The sequence below is a fragment of the Homo sapiens genome, chromosome 5, assembly GCF_000001405.40.
Source record: "Homo sapiens chromosome 5, GRCh38.p14 Primary Assembly".
NCBI classification, from domain to species: domain Eukaryota; kingdom Metazoa; phylum Chordata; class Mammalia; order Primates; family Hominidae; genus Homo; species Homo sapiens.
The window spans coordinates 76603603-76625362 of record NC_000005.10 but is presented as its reverse complement, the minus strand read 5'-3'; the positions used below and the strand labels follow the sequence as shown (position 1 = coordinate 76625362).

Sequence of the window (21760 nt, the reverse complement as noted above, 5' to 3'; positions counted from 1 at the left end):
TCTATGAGTTCATTTATGTGTCTCAGTTCTTTTGAAGGGTATTTGCCTTCCTTCATAACTTATCACTGTAGAAGATACACCACACAGATTTCTACCCAGATGAGAAGGCAGTAACAATCTTACTTCAAAGCTTAAAGTATTAGTCTTATAGGCCAAACTGAAGAGAGAAATTACAAATCAGATGAATTTAAGTCAACGGTTTAAATTATGAAACATTGAACTAACGATTACTAGAGTTAAATGTAAAACCAAAAGTAAAAGCTGAATCTTATCAATGTAAAGTCTGCTTTTTCTTATTTATTTTATTTTTGAGATGGAGTGTTGCTCTGTCACCCAGGCTTGCTCACTGCAACCTCCGCCTCTCAGGGTCAAGCTATTCTCCTGCCTCAGCCTCCCAAGTAGCTGGGATAACAGGCGCCCGCCACCACGCTCAGCTAATTTTTGCATTTTTAGTAGAGATGGGGTTTCACCATGTTGGTCAGGCTGGTCTCAAACTCCTGACCTCAAGTGATCCCCCCACCTCAGCCTTACAAAGTGCTGGGATTACAGGCATGAGCCACTGTGCCCAGCCAAGTCTGCTTTTTCAGTTGTTCACCAGAAGACTGAAAATAATAGTATATTTATGGGACGGCCACACCTCCACTTCAGTTAAACAGCCAGGTTCAACATAAGAGTTACAAATGAATTAAATGACCAGAAACTAGGCCATGTGCAAATCAAGTCATAAATTCCTGAATTTAGATAACTCCCAGAAAAGTTCTAATGAAACAAAAAAAACCTTTGTCAATATTTTAGGTTTTATATTTCTGCAATATAATAACATTCTATCTCAGTTTGTATAACCATATATTATGTAGTTGAAGTATTAAACACTGACCTTTGTAAAAATCTTGGTCTAATGTAATTTAATCAAGATGTGAAAGGTTTCCGCAGATCAATTTCTTCCTAGCATATCCCTAGCCTTTAAGTCTCATGTGAAATTTGTATTTTCTGATTCTTGCTGCATTTTGTAAAGAGCAGGCTGTGGGATGGTCAGGCTTCAAGTTTAAGTTTTATTAACTACAGAAAAATGTGTTATAATGCATTTTTTTACTGTATATTAAGTCATACTCTACAGAATATAACAATTCATAAAAGCTTATATGTTGTACAACAATGTGAATGTATTTAACATTACTGAACTGTACACTTAATACTGGTTAAGATAGTAAATTTTATGTTACGTATATTTTACCACTATTAAAAATATCTTATTGTAGACTTATTCACCAACACTCATGGAATAAAGGGAGTCCTCATTTTCATGATGTGCTATGATTTTAGTTTAACTGAACAGCGTTGTTTGGGAGGTTCCTCCAGTTATCTGACCCTAAGGGTTATTGAATGGCTCAAAACACATCAAGATAAGGCAAAAAAAAAAAAAAAAGCCTGAACAAACGCCATCCTCACCCGGCGAAGAAAAACCACCACCACTCAAAAGCCAGGTTCTGGCCAGGCACTGACGACAAACTGAAATCAATATTACATTGATGGAAAATTTTCAAAGTGATTCACCGCTCAATTTGAATTTCTTAAAAGTTTGTTTTCCATGATTAATTTATAATTATGTAAAGTGTTTAAGGATTAAGATTTGAAATAGCTGGGAAGATAAAGGAAAGGATAATTTATTAAGTAGAAATTACACTCTGGAACTGCATTTTTAAAACGGATAAGAAATGAAATGTGGGACAGATTCAAAACTTACTGCTGTTCAACATCTGTTTTTGGCTTAGTTCTGTAAAGGCCTGTGTAATTTCTGCCATTCTTTAAAAGCAAATCTACTAGGGGAGAATTACAGCACCTATTCAGAATAGATTGTTGGGGGTGGGTAAGAGTTAAATGCCTTTCTCCAGGGATAACGTAACACGTTCAGAGGCTTGGCCTGAGTCATGCTTACTGAAGCATCGAGTGGATTACATCCTTTCCCTGCGGAGGACCAGGGCAAGTTTCCTGCCTGCACGGCACAGGAGAGCAAACTTCTACAGACAGACCAAGGCTTCCATTTGCTGCTGACACATGGAACTGAGGTGAAATTGTGCTCCATGATTTTACAGATTTCATAACGTTTAAGAGACGGGACTCAGGTCATCAAAATGAAAGCCCTCATCTTTGCAGCTGCTGGCCTCCTGCTTCTGTTGCCCACTTTTTGTCAGAGTGGTAAGCAATTTTCTCAGGGGGTAGGATGGGGATGTGGGTTTCTGTTACAAATTAAGAGTCAACTGAACCTAGGTTTCTTTGCATCTCACACAAACTGTAAACCCCAAAGGCAGTTTGATCTTTATTATTAAAAGGTAGAATCATGGAAATGAACATCTATAGTTCATTCACTCTATTCAAACCTGGTCATAGACTAAGTGTTCCCTCCTGATGTTTAAAAATGTGTGGCATATTCAAGATTTTAGATGTCTACGATTAAGTCAGGGAGCAATTTTGAAAGTCGTTTTTGTGTTTGTAAGAATTTCTCTTCTGGTTAAGCAAAGATGGCACTTTTTCTAGGGATTAAAATATATATCCTGTGTTTAAACCTCTTGGTGAGACATAAATGGGAGAAACAAGAATACTGCCAGAAAGAGAAAGTCATCTGCTTTCAATAGCTGGCAATGCTAATAAGTCAGTATTTCCGAAATGAATGACCTTTTTTGACTTTAAGTGGGGAGTTCTCCCTACCCTCATATATGATTTTTTAATTTTAAAAATAAGGTCTCCCAAATACTATTATTCAACTTTGAATGTACTTTCCACTTTACCCATCACAATGTTAGCCTGAAACCTCCTGCTTTTTCCAAAAATAACAAATTTGGGATAGGTCTGTACCTGTTACTCTTTGTTAGGTCACACACTCCAGTCAACATTGTTAGGAGTGGGAGAGGCAAAGACTGGACATAGCAAGGGAAACAAAAACAGAAATCAATGCTTTCTAAAGGAACATTGCTTAAATTCACATTTGGAATCCCTGAGCGGTTGCAGAGAGCTCTAAGAGAATCTGTGGTGATTAGCAGTAAGCACATGTGGGATTTATGAATATAATAAGTGCACGCTCTTTCTGGGAGTAGATGGGCCAATATGTTGAGAAGCAGAATTGCAAAAGAAGCAAGGTTTTCGGGGGTGGTTCCTTCAAGACGCTAATAGGGTTTGATGGAGGTGAAAACGGGGGCCTCTGAAGGAAACAAAGAGGCAGTGAATTTGCTTTCTTCCATGGGGTGGGGGAGAAATGTGAAGGAAGAATGAAGCAAGCTTGTCCAACCTGCCTTATTTCGTTGTGGTTTTGTTTTGTTTTAGGCTTTTAGCAGCCTGAAGCCATGGTTTTTAGTTTCTGTCTCTAGAGGTAAATGGAAAAGAGGGATGAGGAAGGGGCTTTACTGGCTCAACTAGAAACAGAAACTATGAATCCATGACTGTATTCTCTCCCTTGGACACCCCTGAGAGGCCGGAGTTCATTCTCTTTGGATTAGTTCTTCAAGGCCTTTTCCCGGATAGAAAAACATTTCCGAAATATTATGCCCAATGGAAGCCTCTATAAAGAATTAAAATACAATAAAAAAATTTAACAATGAGTACAATTCATAAGGAAAACCAGGCTCTGAGGAATAAAAGCCTTATTTAAGTGGACCCAGATCTGGCATTCTCACGGAAAATGGAATCAAATCAACTTTTCCACAAAACACAGGCACTGTTTGGCATGTCTGGAGGCATGATGTCTTGCTAAATCCCAGAAACTTTCTGAAAACGGACAAACACTTGGTTTTAACAGCTTTTTAAAATCAGGCTAATAACTTGTACGGCATGCTCTTCAGGCACCATTCTCTAACTTTGTGCCTATCTTTAAAGGCACTTCTCTTTGGGTGATGTCAGATGCAAGAACTTTTCCAAAATGCAAAAGTGAGCAGAAGGGTTTGTGTGTCACACAACACAGCTTCTAAGATCACCTCTAAATACAGGCATAGAAGAATGCTGCCTCCCAAATTTTTCTTTCCTTTTCTTTAATCTACCTTTTCTTAAATGATACCTGATCACCTCCATACCCCTCAGTTACTAGGACACACCTCCTCTATTTTACACCGTGAATTCAGCTTGTGCAATCTCAGGTTTACGTGGAGGGTTTCCATTTCACCCGGGAGCTAACTGCTAGAGATTAAAGCAGGAAGAGAAACTGGCTCTGAATGAAACATAGGTTACTAAACACTAACTTCAAGTATTCAATATGGAGGAATTTTGAGGCCATGGGACAAGACATAATGGCGCAGTACTGGCATTTTAAATCGATAAGAATGAGGTTTATATTTGGCATAGAAGTCTATCTTAAAGGTAACATTAGAAATCTGGGAGAATCTATTTTCTATACATGTGAAAGGGTTACAAAAAGTTATATAATAATAAATGTTCAGGTTTGAGCTTTAAGATTTTGTTTTTGAAATTGCAGGAATTAGGATTATTAACATCAACATGCCAAGTAACACCAAATATTGATAGCATATAGTTGATGTGTTTCTATCTTTTAAAGAATTCATTTCCAACTTCTTAGGTCCTCATACCGATTTCATCTTCCGATTTTTCCTCCTTTGTTTCCTCTTCCCTTAAAATCTGTCATTACCCCTAAAGTCCACCTTTGGATTCTTTCTTCTCATAACTCCCCCTAGGCCATCTCAACCACTCCCATTAAATTAAACGAGAGCCTCCATGCAGACTACAATAAATCATGCCTCTAATTTGGGCTCCTGGAATTTTGGACCCACATCCAGTCTTCTAACCAGTTGCTGGACATTTTACACACTAATATTCCACCAGCAACTCATCCTCAGTCAGACTAAAAACAGATTGTAGCTTCTCCCCGATCCTGTCTCCTTGTCTCCCTCCAACTCAGTTAATGGCATCCTCTCCCTCCAAGTCATCTAGAGTAGAAACCTGAGTCATTATTGCTTCCTGCCTCTCCCTCACTGCACCCCAAAGCCAATCAGAACCAAGTCCCTTTAAGCCGCCATCAGAGTCTCACGTGTTCGCCTCTGCCTTTCCATAACCACTGTTCTAGCTCAGTAACTCACTGAGCTATGAATGATGACAGTAGCCTCCAAATCAGGTCCCCTTGCCTGTAATTTCTTACCTTTCCAATCTGTTCTCTACACTATTACCTAAGTCATCTTAAAAACAAGTCAAAATAACGGCTATATTCGTTTCCTACTGCTGCTATATCAAATCATTACAAACTGAGTGGCTTAAAATAACAGATTATATTTCTGGAGATCAGAGGTCTTAAAATCAAGGCTGTTGGTGGGGTTGTGTTCATTCTCGAGGCTCTAGGAGAGAATCGGCTATCTTGCTTTTTTCAGCTTCTAGAATCTGCCTGCATTCCTTGGGTTATGACCCTTTCTTCCATCTTCAAAGCCAGCAGCATAGCATCTTCAAATCTCTGACTTTGACAACCCTCTTACCTTCCCCTTATATGGACTGTTATGATTATATTTGACCCACCCAGGCAATCCAGGAAAATCTCATTTTAAGATCCTTAACTGGCCGGGCGCGGTGGCTCACGCCTGTAATCCCAGCACTTTGGGTGGCCGAGGCGGGCAGATCACGAGGTCAGGAGATCGAGACCATCCTGGCTAACATGGTGAAACCCTGTCTCTACTAAAAAAATACAAAAAATTAGCCAGGCCTGGTGGCGGGCGCTTGTAGTCCCAGCTACTGGGGAGGCTGAGGCAGGAGAATGGCGTGAACCCGGGAGGCGGAGGTTGCAGTGAGCTGAGATCGTGCCACTGCACTCCAGCCTGGGCGACAGAGTGAGACTGTCTCAAAAAAAAAAAAAAAAAAAAAAGAAGATCCTTAACTAAGTTAGATCTGCAAAATCCCTTTTGCTAGGTAAAGGAATATACTTGTAGGTTCCAGGAATTAGCAGGTAGAATCTTTGCGGGGGGCTACTATTCTGCCTAACACAATGGTCATTCCTCTGTTCAAAATTGTGTGTGCAATCCCATCATCTGTGAATAGACATATGATTTCTTAGGACAGTTTAGAGGCCCTTCAGGAATTTAGCTGTCACCCACTCTTTCAATTTCCTTTCTCAGCTGCACTTTATTCGCATAAGACAATGCATTTTTATGCATCTTCTCCACGAGTAGCATTACTTACAGATAGAAATGGATTTTATTTAAAACTTTACACCACTGACACATCAATGTACAATAAAAATTTGCTAAATCAACTTATCTGGCATTCCCAGATCCCATGATAGCCCACACTATGCTTCTGTCCATTCATCACCAGCAGAATCTTACTCATTAAATTCCATCTTTTTAGGAACCTTGCTAGTCTTTGCTCAAGTTCATCTTTTCCTTGACATTTTGCTCAAACATCTGAATCTATTAAGTATTGTCTGAATGCCTGTATAGTTTGTAGTCAACATGCCTATAATGTTCTGATGGGCTGTTTTTGTTTCTTCTAATAGTATTATAAACACTTTACATACAAGGACTGATCATTTAGTTTTTGTTTCCGCACAAGATAGTGTTGTTCTGGGGCATATGATATGTATTAAATATATGCTTGTTGACTGCCTAATCTACAATAACTTTTTAAAATAAAAATGATCTTAAATTCTACAATCACAGAAATTATTTACAAATAATTAAACACACTTTCTTTTCTCTTGAACTATACATTTATGTTAATACTTTCTTTCAATTACAGGCATGGAAAATGATACAAACAACTTGGCAAAGCCAACCTTACCCATTAAGACCTTTCGTGGAGCTCCCCCAAATTCTTTTGAAGAGTTCCCCTTTTCTGCCTTGGAAGGCTGGACAGGAGCCACGATTACTGTAAAAATTAAGTGCCCTGAAGAAAGTGCTTCACATCTCCATGTGAAAAATGCTACCATGGGGTACCTGACCAGCTCCTTAAGTACTAAACTGATACCTGCCATCTACCTCCTGGTGTTTGTAGTTGGTGTCCCGGCCAATGCTGTGACCCTGTGGATGCTTTTCTTCAGGACCAGATCCATCTGTACCACTGTATTCTACACCAACCTGGCCATTGCAGATTTTCTTTTTTGTGTTACATTGCCCTTTAAGATAGCTTATCATCTCAATGGGAACAACTGGGTATTTGGAGAGGTCCTGTGCCGGGCCACCACAGTCATCTTCTATGGCAACATGTACTGCTCCATTCTGCTCCTTGCCTGCATCAGCATCAACCGCTACCTGGCCATCGTCCATCCTTTCACCTACCGGGGCCTGCCCAAGCACACCTATGCCTTGGTAACATGTGGACTGGTGTGGGCAACAGTTTTCTTATATATGCTGCCATTTTTCATACTGAAGCAGGAATATTATCTTGTTCAGCCAGACATCACCACCTGCCATGATGTTCACAACACTTGCGAGTCCTCATCTCCCTTCCAACTCTATTACTTCATCTCCTTGGCATTCTTTGGATTCTTAATTCCATTTGTGCTTATCATCTACTGCTATGCAGCCATCATCCGGACACTTAATGCATACGATCATAGATGGTTGTGGTATGTTAAGGCGAGTCTCCTCATCCTTGTGATTTTTACCATTTGCTTTGCTCCAAGCAATATTATTCTTATTATTCACCATGCTAACTACTACTACAACAACACTGATGGCTTATATTTTATATATCTCATAGCTTTGTGCCTGGGTAGTCTTAATAGTTGCTTAGATCCATTCCTTTATTTTCTCATGTCAAAAACCAGAAATCACTCCACTGCTTACCTTACAAAATAGTGAAATGATCTTAGAGAACAAGGACAGCCATCACAGAGAACGTCTGTTTTCAAGAACAACATAAGCATAGTGCAAGGAGCTCCATTTCCGAGCTCCTAAGAAATATGCTTCAAAGGTCAAACATTACAAAAGCATTAGTAGTTTGTTTGTTTGTTTTTGAGACTGAGTCTCACTTTATCACCCAGACTGGCGTGCAGTGGCACTATCTTGGCTCATTGCAACCTCTGCCTCCCAGGTCAGCCTCCCAAGTAGCTGGGATTACACCACCATGCCCAGCTACTAAAAATACTTGTATTTTTAGTAGAGACGGGGTTTCACCATGTTGACCAGGCTGGTCTTGAACTCCTGACCTCAAGTGATCTTCCGGCCTCAGCCTCCCAAAGTGCTGGATTACAGGCGTGAGCCACTGAGCCAGCCAGCATTAGTAATTTTTAAAAACACTTTATCAGTATTTTAAAAATGTTAATGCAGGAGAAAAGATATCACAACTCTATGGAAAATGACATTTCCATTTGCCTTATTGCTACTTCAAGCTCTTTAAATCACCATCTTCCCTATTTCTGTGAGTGGTATTGCCATCCTTGACATTTGACATCATTTTTTATTCTTTGGTCTCTTTTGACTCTCATGCTGGTGGCTGCCTCATCAACTGATTCTATCTTTGTAGGGTCCCTCACCAGGGTCTTTTATCTAGTTTCACCTTTGCCTTCTTTTTTCCTTTTTTTAATAGAGACAGTGTCTCGCTTCGTCACCTGGCTGAAGTGCAGTAGCCTGATCATAGCTCACTTCAGCCTCCAACTCCTGGGCTCAAGCAATCCTGCTGTCTCAGCCTCCCAAGTAACTAAGACTACAGGCATGCACCACCATACCCAACTAATTTTATTTTTTATTTTTTGCAGAGATGGAGTCTCACTGTTGCCCAGGCTGGTCTTGAACTCCTGGTCTCGAGTGATCTTCCTATCTCAGCCTCCCAAAGTGCTGGGACTACAGGCATGAGCCACTACGTCCAGGCCACCTCTACCTTCTAACCATTCTCTCCACTGCCAGCCTACCCTCCACCACTTCACAAGTCCTGCCAGATTAATCTTCCTTAGATATCAGTTAGGATACATCACTAAAACATTTCCACTAACTCCACTGTTTCTATAATAAATCATAAATCTTTAGCCTGGCATTCAAGGCTAACTTGCTAATCACACTTCCCATTAAACCTTGCTTATGATATAGGCACCAACCAAACCTCTTGCTCTGCTATATCTCCACTCTGCCTCAGACTGAAAAGCTAGTCCTAACGTCTTTGCCTTAATTCTGTTCATTTTTTCAAGTCCTTGAAGGACCATTCTTCCCTGATTCTCAGGCTAGAAGTGTCACTTTTCTTATCTGTACTTCCAAAGCACTTTCGTATATTTTTATTATGGCATTTATATATAGTTCATTTATATTTAAATTTTAATTCCATGAACAATCAAGTACCAAGTATAATGGAGAAGGTGCTCATCCTCTGCCTTCCTTGAGCTTCTGGGTGATGCCAGGCCCAAGTCTTTGTGGCACCCAGCTCCATGCTTTGAATACTATGTGGCTGAATGAATTTTTAAAATCTCAAAGCAGTTAAACAGCAGGAAAGCCCATTAACTTCGTACTGAAAAAGCAACATACTGTGATGATACGGGATGACATCATTTCAGGTTGGGCATACAAAAAAGTAAGGAAGCTAAACTAAGACTATACTCACCAGGCCATTTAGAAGTTTTAAATAATGCCTCCACTATTTTTTTTCTTAGACATAGCTTTTAATGGGGAAATGGAATTTTGTTATTAATACCCATTATATTCCTGTAAGTAAATGACTATTTTTCCCTTAACTCAGTGATTAGACAGGAAGGAAGACATTAGTGATTAGACAGGAGGGAAGATATTAGTGATTAGACAGCAGGGAAGATATTAGTGGTAAAGAGTGAATGATAGTAGTGAATATAAATGGGGCTGAGGAAACTTTAAGCATAAAAGATTCCTGAGATGACTTTACAAGTCTGTACGAATCTGCCTTGACTGTATATTTCATACTGCCCAACAAAACAATAAAAAACAATTTTAAATGCATATTTTTAAATGTACACAGTTTTCTATTTCATCAGACTTAAGTAAAAAGCTTCCACATGAAGACCCTTTATAATATGTGTGTGGTTATGCAAAGAGCAAAACTCAGGTAAACACTAAAGTGAGAATGAAAAACAAACCTAAAGTAAGTTTCAAGAAGATAGAAACTTAAATGGAAGGAGCTGACTTCTGAAAACTAAGTCATCAATTACAACACAGTTTTACCTAAGGAAAAAATACAGCAATATTCGTTAAAAGCACACAGTTTTTATGGTATATACAAGGAGCAAAACAGAACTTTTTGGTGGAGTATAACTCATATGTTCACAAGCAAAACCTTCAATTGTAAAATAGCACACACCACCCAGTGAACAGACATAGAAAAAGTGTTAAAGTCAACATGACCATTACTCAAGTCTCTTTCCAAGAGGCAAAAGGAATTTTGTAGCTACACAAGGTTATACTTGACATACTGCTAAAGAGGACCCAGAATCTTCACCAACTTCCATTACTGTCCTCCACCTTTGACAAAACTGGGCAGCCATTCTATGAAGATGTTACCCATTGTGACCTTTAATGGCTGTAGCCTTTGGCACAGTTTTACTTTATACTGATAATACCAGCAATATAATTTTCTAATATTATTTTCCAAGGCCAGACCTTGGGAAGACAAGGCACAGAAATACCATCATAAACACACAACTGGAAACTTCTAGGAATCAAAATAGTAGAGGATGCTGAATGTGGTGGCTTGTGCCTACAATCCCAGCTACTTGAGAGGCTGAGGTGGGAGGATCACTTGAGCCCAGGAGTTTGAGACCAGCCTGGGCAACACAGCAAGATCCTGTCTCCAAAAAAAAAAAAAAAAAAAAAAAAAAAGCAGAGGGGAAAAACAAAGACATTAAAGACATTGCCAAACAACAGAATTAGGATTTTTCCAAGAAAAAAGAACAGGCTGAGAAAAGAAAGTTTCAAAGTCAATGAACAGAGAAAGAAAACTGCTTAAAAACAGGAATTTAACCAAATATGATTCATCGCTTGGACCTGCAGTATTTTAAATCTGTTTAAATCTGTTAGTAATTGCCAGTATATTTCAAACCTCTAACTATAGTCTAACAGTGGTTTAACGCCTGAACTAGAACCCAGATCCCTAGGCTCCATATCAATGCTCTAATCACACCATGAAAGCTACTGTTTCCACACCTAGAAAGGATGCCTGACACAGAGCTGGCATGGTGTGGGCACTCAGGGGCTTCTTTCAAAGGACGCCTGTGGAGTTCCATCTCAATCTAGATTGGAATGCTCAGTCTAGAAGGGACCTATACTGCCTGCCTATGAAAGGCCTTGGGTTTGTGGAGTCAGGCTCACCTCAAAGACAAACCCCCATGTGGCTGTGGGCAGACAGGGACCCAGGTCTGTCTCTATTTGTCCTCAGAAGATCCTGACTTTGGTGTGTAAATTCAGCAGACTCTACGTCTAGTAAGAACCTTGAAGCCGGGTGCGGTGGCTCATGCCTGTAATCCCAGCACTTTGGGAGGCCGAGGCAGGTGGATAACCTGAGGTCAGGAGTTCAAGACCAGCCTGGAAAACATGGTGAAACCTCGTCTCTACAAAATACAAAAATTAGCCGGGCTTGATGGCAGGTGCCTGTAGTCCCTGCTACTCGGGAGGCTGAGGCAGGAGAATCGGTTGAACCTGGGAGGTGGAGGTTTCCGTGAGCTGATATGGCGCCACGGCACTCCAGCCTGGGTAACTGAGCGAGACTCCACCTCACAAAAAAAAGAACCTTAAGATACTGACATCACTCGCCCCTTACTTGGGAGGCAACCATAGGTGCCCACAATAATACTAGCTACATTATTTAAGCCCTTTTTTTGGTGCCAGGCTCCATGCTAAATGCTATAGCTACACAAACACGTGCACATATTCTTCATTAATAGTACCTATAGTTATATATTGATATATATTTACATATTGTATATTCTCATTGAACCCTCACCATAATCCTATAAGACAGGTACTATTATTCCAATTTTATACATGCAAAAATAAGCATATAGAGATTTGATGATTTGACCAAGATCACATAACTAATTTGTGGCAAAGCCAGGATTTGAATGATGTCTATCTTCAAAGCAAATAACTTTGTCTTCCAATGCTTGTAAGTTTACCATGTGCCATGGCCACAGCCACCTCAGTGGAAACATCAAGGTGAAGGCCCACTCTCCTGCCCCTGGGATGTATGGACTCCAGGCTTGTGTATGAGCCCTCACTCTCCCACTCACTGGCTGTACCTTGGCCAGGCATTCGCCCTGAGCCTCAGGCTCGTTCACATCAGATGAGACAGCACCCATTCCACAGGTGGTATGAGGCTTAAATGAGAAAGACTGATGTGAGTGGGGGCGCTTGGCAAAGTGAGGAGGGTCAGGCAATGCCACTGCCGTTCCTGTTGGAAGGCTGGCAGTGCAGAGGGCGCCACCATGGGGGATACATTTCTCCACCTTCAATGAGGCAGTGGAGTAGTGAGGATAGGATTTACATTGGTTTTTAAAAGTTTAGAAACAGTAATTATTTAATACACACACTCCTTAAAAAATTTAAAAATCCAAGCAGTACAAAAACGGAGTGAAGAATAAATCTCCCATCCATACTAGCCTTCTAGTTCACCTTCCAGAAGGTATCCTCCCTCCAGAAATATTTTAGACACATGTAAGAGTGTGTGCGCCCCTCCCCCAACACATACACAAGCCTATCTATATTCCATCTATGTGCACATCACAGCATGATTTTTTTTTTGCTTAACAACATTTAGGTTGTTTTTCATGTTTTGTGATTGCAAACAAAGCTGCAATAAACATCTTTTCCCATCTGCCTTAATACATAATTATAATGTTTCCGAATCAGACAGACCTGAGCTGCATGTAGTCTCAGGACTAATTATCTTTTAGATAGCTTGATTTTGTTTTATTTTATTTTATGTATTTATTTTCGAGACAGAGCCTTGCTCTGTCACCCAGGTGGGGGTGCAATGGTGCGATCTCAGCTCGCTGCAACCTCTACCTCTCGGTTCAAGAGATTCTTGTCCCTCAACCTCCCAAGTAGCTGGGATTATAGGTGTGAGCCACCACACCTGGCTAATTTTTTATTTTTTATTTTTATCTTTTAGCAGAGATGGGGTTTCACCATGTTTGCCAGGCTGGTCTCGAACTCCTGGCCTCAAGTGATCCACCTGCCTTGGCCTCCCGAAATGCTGGGATTACAGGTGTGAGCTACTGTGCCCGGTCACATTTTAGATAGCTTTCAACAAGTTACTTAATCTTGGTTTCATTATGTGTAAGATGGCAATAATGATGGCAAAATGGTTCAGAAGGCTGTTATGAATTGTTGTGATGATTAAATGAGATGATACACATGAGTATCTAATATCATGCCTGACAAATAGTAGGTTCTCAATAAATGTTTGCATTAACCAAGGATGTTTTTCCTGTTTCGAATGAGGCAGTTCCTAGGTTCTAAAGACCTAGACAGAGGAGATGACCGCCCTTTCAGTTGGGTTTGCACCTGAAGACATGGCAGCCATAAGTAGCTAGGTCCCAGGTGGCATCACTCCCACTCTTAGGTGACAGATCATATCAGCCTCACCACTCAGCCCATTGGCCTTATCACAGAGGCCAGTCTTTGTGGGGCTCCTTATAATAGCGGTACAAGCTCTGTACTCAGAAAAAGCCACTAGTCTTCGAGAGGACAGCTTCTGCTCTACCTCCACACCAACTTCTCTTAGGATTCTAGTCCCCGACAATCTCAAACATCCGTGAATCAATCTGTGTATCTCTCATTTTGACACTTTGCACACCCTTATCTTTACTATTACTTGACTGTTCCATGTGACAATGTCCACTGCCTCAATCAGTTTCTAAGCATTTTGAAGATAAGGTCAGAGAACATTCAAATGGTATTATGTGTCCCTCTGTATCCCCATCTTCTCTACCAGAAGCTATGGACTGAAGTGTGCACATAGTATCTACTAAGGAAATAGTCAATGAATTGAACTCTGAACAAGAACTCACCTACAACTGAGTTTTTAGTCAAAGAATTAAAGCAATAAATAGCTCTGGAGCTGGTTTCCCCCCAATGTTTGTTACCAGGAAAATAACAGCTCTATTATTTCCATTCTGATTCATGGGTAATTGTTGGGACAAGAAGCTCATGAGATTTAACGTAAATGGGTCAAATCCTCCTCCTTCTCTCCCTCTGCCACCCAGCCTGTAAAATTTAAAAGAAACAGATATACTAAAACTTACTCCGAGTTTCTGTGATTTAGCATGGTATAAAACATCCTGGTAGTGCTGGGCATGGGCTGGGTCCACATCACTAATATTCGCAGTAGGTAGGAGCAAAGTTTCTAAAGTCCTCAAAGGATTCCCTTCATCAATAGCTTCATTGATGTACCCTACAGCTACAACTCCTAGAAAATGAAGAAGTAGTTTTCCTTTTAAGTCACAGTACATTATAACTTCTTTAGTATCACCGATTGCAAAAGGCTAATTAACTAGTACAGCAAGGCTATAGGATGCAAGATGCAAGCACAAAACCAATTATGTGTCTATACGCTCATAATAAGCAATCTGAAAATAAAATTAAGAACACATTCAATTCATAAGACTGCAACTACAAATACATTATAATTATAAATAAATATTTAGACATAATTTAATGAAAGAAACATAAGACATGTACACTGAAAACTATACAACACCATGGGAAAAAACTTAAAGACAAATAAATGAAAAGAGCCAATGTTCATGAATTGGAAGATTTAGTATTGTTAAGATGGAAATACTTCTTAAATTGACCTACAGATTCAATGCAACTTCTATCAAGGTCCCAGCTGCTGGTTTTTATTTTTATTTTTTTTTTTTGAGAGATTCTTGCTCTGTCCCCCAGGCTGGAGTGCTGTGGCATGATCTTGGCTCACTGCCACCTCCGCCTCCTGTGTTCAAGTGATTCTTGTGCCTCAGCCTCCTGAGTAGCTCTCTACATTCTGACCAACACTTGTTATTGTCTTTTTCATTACAGCCATCCTAGTGGGTGTGAAGTGGTATCATACTGTGGTTTGGATTTGTATTTTTCTAGTGACTAATGATTTTGAGCATCTTTTCATGTGTTTATTTTCCCTTTGTACATCATCTTTAAAGAAATGAAGTGTCTATTCAAGTCCCAGCTACTTGGGAGGCTGAGGTAGGAGAATCACTTGAATCCAGGAGGCAGAGGTTGCAGTGAGCCAAGATTGCACCACTGCACTCTAGCCTGGGTGACAGAGTAAGACTCTGTTCCCCCCACCAAAAAAAAAAAAAAAAAAAAAAAAAAAAATATATATATATATATATATATATATATATATATATATAGAGAGAGAGAGAGAGAGAGAGAGAGAAAGAGAGAACAAGACTGACTATAGGGTTCACAAATGAAAAGCACAGAAGTCAAACTATGAAACCTGCTTTTACAATTCTAATGAAACGGATCTATCTGGAGGTTACTTCTCAATACCTTATTATTAAAAAATAAACTATCATCCATTCATAAAAAAATGCATTTAGATAGACATGCACACACAGACACACACACACACACACACACACATATATATATAAAACACACATATACACACACTGCCAAGGAGCTTTTGCTTCCTAGGTTAGTACTGATGGATAAGAACTGTTAAAGAAACTAGATATTAATGAACAATAAGCTTAGAATATAAGCATTTTTAAGGTCAAACTTCATATTTCTCATTTTTTCCATTAGATTTAATCTAAAATGATCACCCGTCACTTCACAACTGTGATATGCCATGAAATAGAATGAGTACTTCTCATTTTTAAAAAAAGTATCTCCAGCTTGACATTCAAGTAAAGATAAAATATTTAGCTAAATATTTCTTGAATAGATGAGCCCATAACCACCACTTCGTTAAGAATGAAAAGATTTACCTGTAAGAAGAATGAAACCATCTAAAACTCCTAGAAATCATTCCAGACTATAATACTTAAATATGTTTGAAGAAAAAGCAGAAGTATTTCTCTAATGTGCAGGTTATATTATCTGTAAACATTGACAGAACTCTGGAAAGTCTAAGTATTATCTATATACAAGGTACTGTCGTTTTACCCTATAGGATTTATAAACTGGAGTGCATGGAATATTTAGTGCCATTCTCTGGTCACCCCCCTTGGGTAAGCTGTTCTAAATACCTTTAAAACACCCCATCCAAAAATGGTCTTAACAGAACCAAGGCCGATCACCTGGAAGTGAGTGCATTTCAGCTGACTTGATTGAAATCACCTGCTAAAGTTGCTGTCTGCTGCGTTTCTAAGAATACAAGCTGCTGAGGTCATAGTGAATGACATCATAGGAGCTGAAAGATTACCCAGAAGCCCTCTGGGAACATATGCATCACTTCCTCTGTTTATAAATAAAAGGGAAATCCTATTTGAAGAAAGATTGCTGAGCTTCACTCAGCCCACGGTCCACTTCTTTACATCAACACATGTTACTATAACATTCTAGTCCACAAGAGAGTGGGCGTTCTTTTAGAGTTCATGTATTTGAGGCAGCAGATGAGGTAACCTACACAGAATTGTACCTACCAAATTTAAAGAGCAAAAACTCAAAGAAGAAAACTTCCTGATGTAGGCTATAAGGTTAAAATAATGCTCCTTTATGGTTCTACTGGGAAAAGTAAACTTTTCAGTAAGAAATCAACAGAGCCTGAGGAAATGCATTCAGCAGCTAGCTTCTCCATTAAATTCACCTTCTATATTTCTCATTTTCCATTAGCTGCTTACCTCACCCACATCACAACTCAGATATGGAATTAGATCTCAGAGCATGTGGCAAGAATAAGGTGGGGAGGCAAGAGTAATGCACCTTCAAAACGTCCATGAAAAATTCTCAGCTCCTCAGATGACTTAATTACTATACTGAGCAATTCCTGCCTGGTTACAATGGTGTATTTTAGAAATTTTAGATTTTGAAGAATTGCCTAAACATGATATCAAACTCAATACTTCAGGAACTCATTCTGACAAAAGAAAAAAATAAAACCAAGACACAGATAAATTAAATACTCTGTATTAAAGTTCCCAAATTCCAGAAAGGAAATATTAGTGTCTGAAATACCTTTTCTGGTTATGGTATATGTCCTTTATGACAAGATACTTAACAGAAGTGTTATAGTGGCTGTGTGAAATGTCCTAGGGAGAATAACTTAGTAGTGCTGTTACCTTGATAGATAAAAGCCACAGCAATCAAATGAGATTTTTGCTTAAAAATAATATCTACTTACAAAAGACTATTTTCTAAGTTATGCAAATGTTACTTGCTTTTTTTCCCCCCAGTAACCAACTAAAGCAAAGGCTGTACTTGATAGCCAAGAACAAAACTGGCATTTTCCCCCTGTTAATCAATGTCAACCCTACAATCTTTCAGCACTGAGAACTAACATACCTTCATTTGTGTAAGCAGCACATACAGAAATAACCAAAGCAGAACTGAAGCATGGGTATTGCCAAGAATTGGGGAAAAAGTTAGAAAGCAAAGATGGGACGTGAGTCTTTGTTTTGCCTACCAAAAGAAAGGAGTCCTACTTCTTGGGTGGCAGTTGCTGTAGCAACCAAACCACTGCTAAAGGAGATTCAGAGCATTAAGACGGAGGTTGTGGAGAAGGGCAGAAGCCTGGGGGACTGAGCTCTGTAGCGGGACACTAGGAGCAGTGGTGGTCCCCCAACCCCCACCTGATGATGTTGAACATCTGCTCAAATTAGAGCTTGCGTCTTGACTAACGTCTGGCAAGAACCATAAACTCCCAAGCCAAGTATCAGAAAAGAGCTAAGTGGGGTGTGAGCAAGCCGTCTCACCGCAGAGACTTTAAATGCTTCACTGAAAGGAAATGCAGAGGCAACAGGGAAGCTGTGCCGTCTCGAAAGAAATTTAGATTTGTGCACAACTTGAAAAGGACAAAATGAAAGTGTCCAGGGATCAGTGTAACAGTGGTACATCCATGGTACCGTATATAGGGTAGCACACCTGGATCCTGTTTTATAGTAGGGGCTTAAAGTGAGAATATGTTTAAAAAACAAGAACCAAAACTGGCCTTGACTTTTGGCCCAGCACTCACAGGAAACAGCAAAGAAAAAGAAGAAAACTTTGCAAATGCAATTAATTAACAAAGTCATATGTTTTATTTCAAGAGTGATCTTAGTATTCCTAAGTTAAATACAGCATTAGAAGACCAGACCTAAGACCTTACCCAAACACACTAAAATAAAACATAATAAACTGTGAGAGAAGTATCTGCCCACTCTATCCGCGAGCTTGGAGCAAATGAGTTAGAAAAGTCAAAGCTGGAAGGTGGAGGAGAGATCAATGATTTTAGCAACACTCACCCACTGTTGCTGACAAGTCAAAAGCTCATAAGCCACAGAAGATGGTGTTGCTTTGTTTTCATGGTGGAAAACACAGCTCGAAGCTTGAATTTGGTAATGCATACTACAGAAAAGCAGTGAATGTATGGACTGCAGAAGCTACATAGCTCCTCATTCTTCACTCTATTTTCATAAGCAAGATGCAAATGATAAAGCAGCAAGCTGACATTCAAGAAAGCATGTTTCAGGGCATATCTTCCTGAGGTTGGTATGCTTTCATGCTGGCAGCTCATAATTTCTAGAAACACAGCAAATCACCATGATTTGTGATCATTAAGCAACAGTTAGATCGTGTTCCAATTCCTCCATTTGTGGGGCAGAAAAATCGTGTCATATTTCAGAAAAAAAGATGCCCAAATAAAAGGTCAAAATAAAATTGGGTGCTTAAAAATATGAGTTATTTAGCTGTCTCTGTATTTAGCTGTCTCTGAAGTACAAATAACCAGAAAAATCAGGCCTTTTACTTGTGTATTTTATTATATTATGAATTCTTGTGTAGGCTTTGTAACGTTTATAACATATTGGTACAGTGGTATAGGCATAAAATCTACCTATAAATAAAGGTATGCATATTAGCGGAGTTTGCTCTCACAAAGTTCCTTGAGCAAAAACTTAAAGCCCTAATCTAGAAAACTAAGTTGTCCAGATACCTTCTTCTCCCACTATGCTAGAGAAGGAAAGTGTCTTATACTTACGGTCATTTTCTTCTTGAATTTGAGCATTAACCATATCAATACAATTCTGAATTTCATTCCAGCTTAAGTTATCTTGCCCTTGGGATAAAACTTCTAGTTTAACAGAGAGTAGTGTGTTTGCATAACTGTGGAAGAGAAAATAATCTTGATGTTAATTAGAGACATTCATTCTTCGTTCCTGTTGTTTCTCAACTATGACACATGGTCAAACATAGTTGTTATGAAGTTAGACAAAGAGTAGAAAGGCAAATAAAATTGTCTTGTGTAGCTCTGTCAACATATACCAGGCTTACTTGTACTAATGGTGTTTTCTTAAAGTATTTTTATGAACAAATTCTGTTAATGAAAGCTCTTCAAAATCGAAACTCATACCTAACTCAAGCAAAACTGGAAACTTTCAAGTCTGTGAAATTACTTTTCCCTAGTTACTAATTTTCCTCCCCTTTGTATGTCTTGGTTCTTCTCAGTCTTCAGATGATTGTTACAGGGCAAAATTCAGAGTTACTATGGGTCTCAATCTTTCTATCATCAAGTGTCCTTTTCATTATTTCTCTTGTTCCTTCCAAAATCTAAGTTTTAAAAGACCTTTTCTACTACAACCCTAATATAGAGCCACTTTGAGGCCTAATATGACACTGAGGAATCAGATAACATGCAAATGCAGTTCCAGAAACCTTGCTGAGTAGCACAATCTTTACCGTATGTTGTCCTGAAGAGGTGGCACATGAGTTAAACCAGGATATACTGAAATTCCTTTTCACCTGCCCATTTCTCCAAAGGCTCCTAGCCAATACTCAAAAATCTCTCTTAGGCCTGGCGTGGTGGCTCACACCTGTAATCCCAGCAATTTGGGAGGCTGAGTGAGAGGATCGTTTGAGCCCAGGAGTTAAAGACCAGCTTGGGCAACACAGGGAGACTCTGTCTCCATAAAAAAATAAAATTAAAATTAAAAATGGCCCTCTCACCCATTGTTTATGACCAATGACCCTTCTCACTGTGCATAGCCCTCTGGAAGATACAGTTTAGTCAACCACTCCAATTACTTTTTTTCTGCCTGGGGAAATTTCAGGGAAAAACTTACTCATACTGATATATTAAGAAACTTTTACTTCTCAATTATCAATTTTCCCACTTTCCAATTTTCACAGAACCAATGTTACAACCATAGGCTAACATGAACTATTCCAGCGAAAATTAATAAAACTAGATAGTTTAGTGTGCTTTTATGTCTTTGCACCAGGGCAATGAAGAACAATCTTCTGTGTACATAATGAGTCACTCTGCAGTTTGAATTCTGAATAGTCTCTAGGGATCTAGTAATGGCAGAGGTTAAAAGAAGAAACATTATATGAAGTCTAAAACTGTTTTCTTGGTTGTGACAAACTTTTTCAAAATTCTGCATGCTTCAAGGTGACATGCGGTGTCTTCCATAGAGAGTAGCTTGAGAGAAAAACATTCAAAAATAGGAAATGGTGGTAACAATTTATTTTCTGTAGCTGAATGAGGCCTCGCCAAGTGCAGATGTGAAATACACTAGTAATGTATAATAAATAATACTGACCACAATAACGATTTGGATTATCGGTAACTTGCACTGGTTAGTGTCCCTCACAGATGGAGACCATTCCAAAAGCGCAAAGTCCTTATGGGCATCCCATACACTTAACGTCTAAATGCTGACCCAACAGGAGTGAAATGAGAAAGTAAAAAATAAACACAGAAAGAAATACAACTACCCATCATTTCTTTAGAAATGAACAAAAACAAGCTATAAAGGAAAAGATTTTAAAAGTAACACCATTTGACCCAGTAATCCCATTATATGATTATAAATCATTCTACTATAAAGGCACATGTACCTGTATGTTTATGCGGCACTGTTCACAATAGCAAAGACTTGGAACCAACCCAAATGTCCATCAATGATAGACTGGATAAAGAAAATGTGGCACATATACACCATGGAATACTATGCAGCCATAAAAAAAAAGGATGAGTTCATGTCCTTTGCAGGGACATGGATGAAGCTGGAAACCATCATTCTCAGCAAACTAACAGGAACAGAAACCAAACAACACATGTTCCCACTCATAAGTAGGAGTTGAACAATGAGAACATGTGGTCACAGGGAGGGGAACAACAACATACACCGAGGCATGTCAGGGGGTGGGGAACTAGGGGAGGAATAGCATTAGGAGAAATACCTAATCTAGATGGTGGGTTGATGGGTGCAGCAAACCACCATGGCACTTGTATACCTATGTAACAAACCTGCATGTTCTGCACATGTATCCCAGAACTTAAAGTATAATAATAAAAAAAAATTTTTTTTAAAGTAACACAAGAGAACTCCACAGGCTTTTCCAATTGAGTATTTCTCTCCAGTACTGAAGTTACCAACTTTGGGAAATATTCCGTAGTTTCCCCAAACAGGTCAATGTCCTCTCCTCTCACTCCTCTCAGTTCTCTTCACCTCATCTATGGACAGACTAGTAAGGAGTCTACTAATCTAAGAGCCCTGGGAAGCTCTGAGAAGATCAGTAATCCAATTTAGTTCAGCAGATGTTTGTGAGCACTTACTACATGTAAAACATGGCAGGCACTACAGGAATATTAGGAGGAAAAAGGTGCAGCCTTTATGCTTTCAGACCAGTGGGTAAGACGACAAAAATTCCAAAAAGGTATAAAAGCAGAGCACAGG

At 39.3% G+C, this 21760-nt stretch overlaps 2 protein-coding genes and 1 long non-coding RNA gene across 15 annotated transcripts in view, besides 2 other annotated features; 2 read left to right on the top strand and 1 right to left on the bottom strand.

Annotated features, from left to right (window-relative positions):
- The window catches only part of IQGAP2 (IQ motif containing GTPase activating protein 2), a 304848-nt gene that overhangs the window by 82770 nt on the left and 200318 nt on the right, over nt 1-21760 (bottom strand). For 8 of the 12 annotated variants that reach the window (NM_006633.5, XM_017008960.2, XM_047416641.1 and 5 more), the window contains 2 exons: nt 19060-19184; nt 14180-14343 (listed from right to left, as the gene is read on the bottom strand). In NM_006633.5, the coding sequence (NP_006624.3) occupies nt 14180-14343; nt 19060-19184 (289 nt within the window). Of the gene's footprint in view, nt 1-14179; nt 14344-16132; nt 16253-19059; nt 19185-21760 lie in introns of those variants that run through there. The other 4 variants (XM_005248414.3, NM_001285462.2, XM_011543108.3 and 1 more) reach the window with 2 other exon arrangements.
- Nucleotides 1885-2179: a silencer, noted in NCBI's record as "tiled region #1022; K562 Repressive non-DNase unmatched - State 8:EnhW". NCBI's record gives its function as "represses a minimal TATA promoter and a strong SV40 promoter by Sharpr-MPRA in K562 cells {active_cell/tissue: K562}" and the evidence as "EXISTENCE:reporter gene assay evidence [ECO:0000049][PMID:27701403]".
- On the top strand, nt 1960-9881 carry F2RL2 (coagulation factor II thrombin receptor like 2). Of its 2 annotated transcripts, none has more exons than NM_001256566.2 (2): nt 1960-2066; nt 6721-9881. In NM_001256566.2, the coding sequence occupies exon 2, from the start codon at nt 6723-6725 to the stop codon at nt 7779-7781; it is 1059 nt and encodes a 352-aa protein (NP_001243495.1). In that variant the 5' UTR covers nt 1960-2066; nt 6721-6722; the 3' UTR covers nt 7782-9881. The 2 variants fall into 2 exon arrangements, with proteins under 2 accessions (NP_001243495.1, NP_004092.1); NM_004101.4 differs by having other exon boundaries at nt 1960-2196.
- Nucleotides 16394-18755, top strand: LOC101929109 (uncharacterized). Its single transcript, NR_134278.1, has 2 exons — nt 16394-16503; nt 17279-18755. It is a non-coding gene; the product is annotated as an uncharacterized LOC101929109 (long non-coding RNA).
- Nucleotides 16482-16531: an enhancer, noted in NCBI's record as "active region_22694". NCBI's record gives its function as "activates an Ori minimal core promoter by ATAC-STARR-seq in GM12878 lymphoblastoid cells {active_cell/tissue: GM12878}" and the evidence as "EXISTENCE:reporter gene assay evidence [ECO:0000049][PMID:35858748]".

Bases quoted from the DNA above. Each gene is read 5' to 3' on its own strand.
- F2RL2 (NM_004101.4), top strand. From the start codon at position 2,133: ATGAAAGCCCTCATCTTTGCAGCTGCTGGCCTCCTGCTTCTGTTGCCC. The intron at 2,197-6,720 runs GTAAGCAATTTT...TTTCAATTACAG, and splicing joins GCCCACTTTTTGTCAGAGTG to GCATGGAAAATGATACAAAC.